General features: G+C 39.8%; 1 annotated feature.

Moving 5' to 3' along the window:
* Positions 3209–3288: a silencer, noted in NCBI's record as "silent region_15778". NCBI's record gives its function as "represses an Ori minimal core promoter by ATAC-STARR-seq in GM12878 lymphoblastoid cells {active_cell/tissue: GM12878}" and the evidence as "EXISTENCE:reporter gene assay evidence [ECO:0000049][PMID:35858748]".

The following is a 3511-nucleotide window of genomic DNA, read 5'->3' as shown; positions in this document are numbered from 1 at the left end:
AATTTTTTATCTTAATTGGTCTTGTGCTGCTATAACAGGATACCACAAACTGGGTAATTTACAATGAACAGAAGTTTATTGGATCATGGTTCTGGAGACTGAGAAGTCCAAGATAGAAGGGCTGGCATCTTGTGAGGGCCTTCTTGCTGCATCATCTCATAGCAAAAGGGCAAAGAAAGGACAATGACATAAAACAAGAGATCAAACCAGTGCCTCAAGTTCTTTTATAGTCTGCATTAATTTATTCGTGAGGGTGGGGCCCTCATGCCCTAAACACTTCCTATTAGACCCCACCTCCCAATACTTTTGCATTTAGGATTAAGTTCCTAGCACATGCTTTCGGGGGGACACATTAAAACTATAGCAGTAAGAGTGCCTATTCTTTGGATTTCAGGTGAGTACAGGTATCTATTTTGTTTGGATGCCCTTTCAATTTATCTGAAGTGTTAGCCTTTTCATAGCCAGTCTCATTTGAGACCCAAAGAGCTATGGCACCAAATCCCTTTTGAGATATGCAGGCACCACCTAATGCCAACTTCCATCCCTCTTAATCTTTCTTTTTTACATTCTTATGGCTCCTCTCCCTTTATGGGCAGAAAAATGTTTCTTAACTCATGTTCTCTATTTTCTTCTACTCTGGGGCTTAAACTCTATAATCACTCCTCTAAGTATTTGCTCAGTATCTTTCAAGTCAAGTCCTGAAGCAGGTCTAATTTGCCTTGGGTCAGCAGAAGGTCTAAAAGTCAAGCTGAGATCTTCAATTTTATGACTATTTAAGAGGTCAGAAAGGCTGTCTCTTTGTTAGAGGCTATCCAGTAATGGGAAAGATTAAAGTGGTAATTTTCAAAATAAGCTAATCATTGCTTCTATCTTGGCATATATTCAAATGGAGTTTAACCACATTAAAAATTTATGTCATCTGGGTGCAACTATGTGCAAATAGATTTTTGTCCATTTACGAAATTTGAGAATGATAATGCAAGGTGCTTTTTAATGTCTATAAAATAACTTGAATAACTTTGATTTGACATCTTATGCAACCTTAGCTCAGATTGTTTGCATATAATATTCTAAGAGTCCCATAGAAAGAAAATAGAAACATTAACTAAGCCACCCACTTTGCATGATATCCTGTTTAATTCTGTTTTCCAACTTGTTCAAAACACTCTCCTGGGAGAGCTGAGTAGTTTTTTAAATTATACTTGTTAACTGTTCATAAGAAGGCAATGGTTGTAGCATATTATTTCTACAATCGATACATCTAAAGTTATTTAAACAAGAGTTTTCATAAAAGTACAGTGATAACTGGCTAGGAATTTAGTGCTAAAATCCTAAACTAGGGATGAACACAAAAATGACTATCATTTCAACCCAGCAAAATGTGTTCACCATGATTTGTAAAGCACCATTGGCACATGATGTTATAAGGAAAGTCAATTAATGTTTTGAGAGGTTGAATCCTGCCATTATCTACCACTGAAACTAATGTTTACAAAAATGTCTTTGCCTTTTGTTAGCTGTCACTAAATTAATTTTCATTATATAGTTGTGCATTTTTTATCTAAGAACCCAGCAAAAAAAAATATCATTTCTGGGAAATGAGAAGAAAATACACAAGTAGAAACAAAATAAGAAATTTGTGTGTTTCTTAGAAAACAGGCATCAATCAAAGCATAATATCTTGAAAAAAAGAGATGACAGACCCCTCGGCACACTAGCCTCACCCTGCTCTGGGAACCACATGTTCAGAAGAACATGAACCAATGTAATTCATTCAGATGTAGGAAAGATTGAAAATGATATCATACTTAAACAATATAATAAAGATCTCTGGGGGATCTTAGTGCATTTAATAAAGAGAAAACCTGAGAGATTCAGAGTAACTCCCTTCAAATGTATGAAGGACTACCCTGAAGGGAAATCAGTCTTCTTGCATTGACCCAGTAGGAGGAGAATATGCTCCAGTCAGTAAAAAGACTAGTTATTAGATGCTTTCTTCCATCTGACTATAAGGCAGAGCCCTCTTACAGCCAGAGCTGTTCAAATGAAGAAGACTTATGAGTCCCCATCTCAGCAATGTATAACTATAACAACATATGACCAGCTAACAGAGATGCCATAGAAAGTATTCGAGCATCAGGCAGGTAGTCGAAATGGTTGAATTTTAATGTTTCTTTGTCCTCTTTGACCTGAGATTTACAGTCAAACAGCAGGGGAATTAGGAATTTGCATCAGCCTGTGAACCTCCATTTCGCCATCCTTGAAATGGTGTCAACGTCGGCCAAGCACTGTGGCTCACACCTGAATCCTAGCACTTTGGGAGGCCAAGGCAGGTGGATCACCTGAGGTCAGGAATTCGAGACCTTCCTGGCCAACACGGTGAAACCCTGTCTCTACTAAAAATACAAAAAATTAGCCAGGCGTGGTGGCGGGCGCCTGTAATCCCAGCTACTTAGGAGGCTGAGGCAGGAGAATTGCTTGAACCCGGGAGGTGGAGGTTGCAGTGAGCCAAGTTCTCACCACTGCACTCCAGCCTGGGCAACGAGAGCAAAACTCCGTCTCAAAAAAAAAAGGTGTCGACATCATAAGGCCCTTTTGAAAGTTATCAGACATACACGTGTTCACTGATAGCTTAGGGCAGAGCATGACACCATCCTCTCTCAAGAATGTTAGCTGCTACTTTTATTACTGATCCTTCCCTCTGAAGGTCCTTTCAGGGAATGTATTCAGGAATCCAAAGACAAAGAATCGATAGGGCACACGTTTCTTTATAGCAGACATTGAAGAGAAAAGGAAGCACAGAGTAGCTGTAAGAAGAATGGAAGAATCATTGTGGGGAAAACCTGGTAATCTGAACTTTTCTGATGTTTTAAAAATGCATTTTACAAAAATGTTTGAAATATAAGGGGCCAGGAACAGGTTTTAATGTTCTGTACTTGAAGACGGCAAAGGAAGCCTGACTGGAGGCTGGCCTCTCTGTTCTGGGTCTCTGAAGTTAGATCAAGAGCATCTGAACTCAACAGGGAGTTTCTCCCCCTTAGGTATCTTCCACTTTCCTCTATTTATGTCATCGGGTACAACCTCCACTCCCAACTGAGTCCATTATTCTTCACTCCCATACATGTAGCAGAGCTCCAGAGTTGGCCCTGAGGTTTTCTCCCTTTACCCAGTGAAGAACATCATTTCTGGGAAGTGAATTGCTGTGTTTTGGTTTTGAGTTAGGATTATGAGTGAGTTCTGTGTGTGTCTCCGCAGGGCAGCCTGAGACCTCGCACCGGAGTGTTTCCCCTGCGTTTCAGTGCTGAGAACCGACAAGCCTCATATCTGTTTTCTGGTTATTGGGTGACCCCTGCTGGTCAGTAGGAGCTGTTACTGCCTTCTCTAACTTGGATTTCTGCGTTTAATTCCAGTTATCAAACTGTGACTGCCACTTTCCACGATTCATCTCACCTTGATTTAGTTGTGATAACTTCCACTAATACCTGTTGTGCATTAAATGTCATCTTTATTG

Source organism: Homo sapiens, chromosome 4, assembly GCF_000001405.40.
Source record: "Homo sapiens chromosome 4, GRCh38.p14 Primary Assembly".
In the NCBI taxonomy this organism is placed as follows: domain Eukaryota; kingdom Metazoa; phylum Chordata; class Mammalia; order Primates; family Hominidae; genus Homo; species Homo sapiens.
This window is presented reverse-complemented; position numbering and strand designations above follow the sequence as displayed.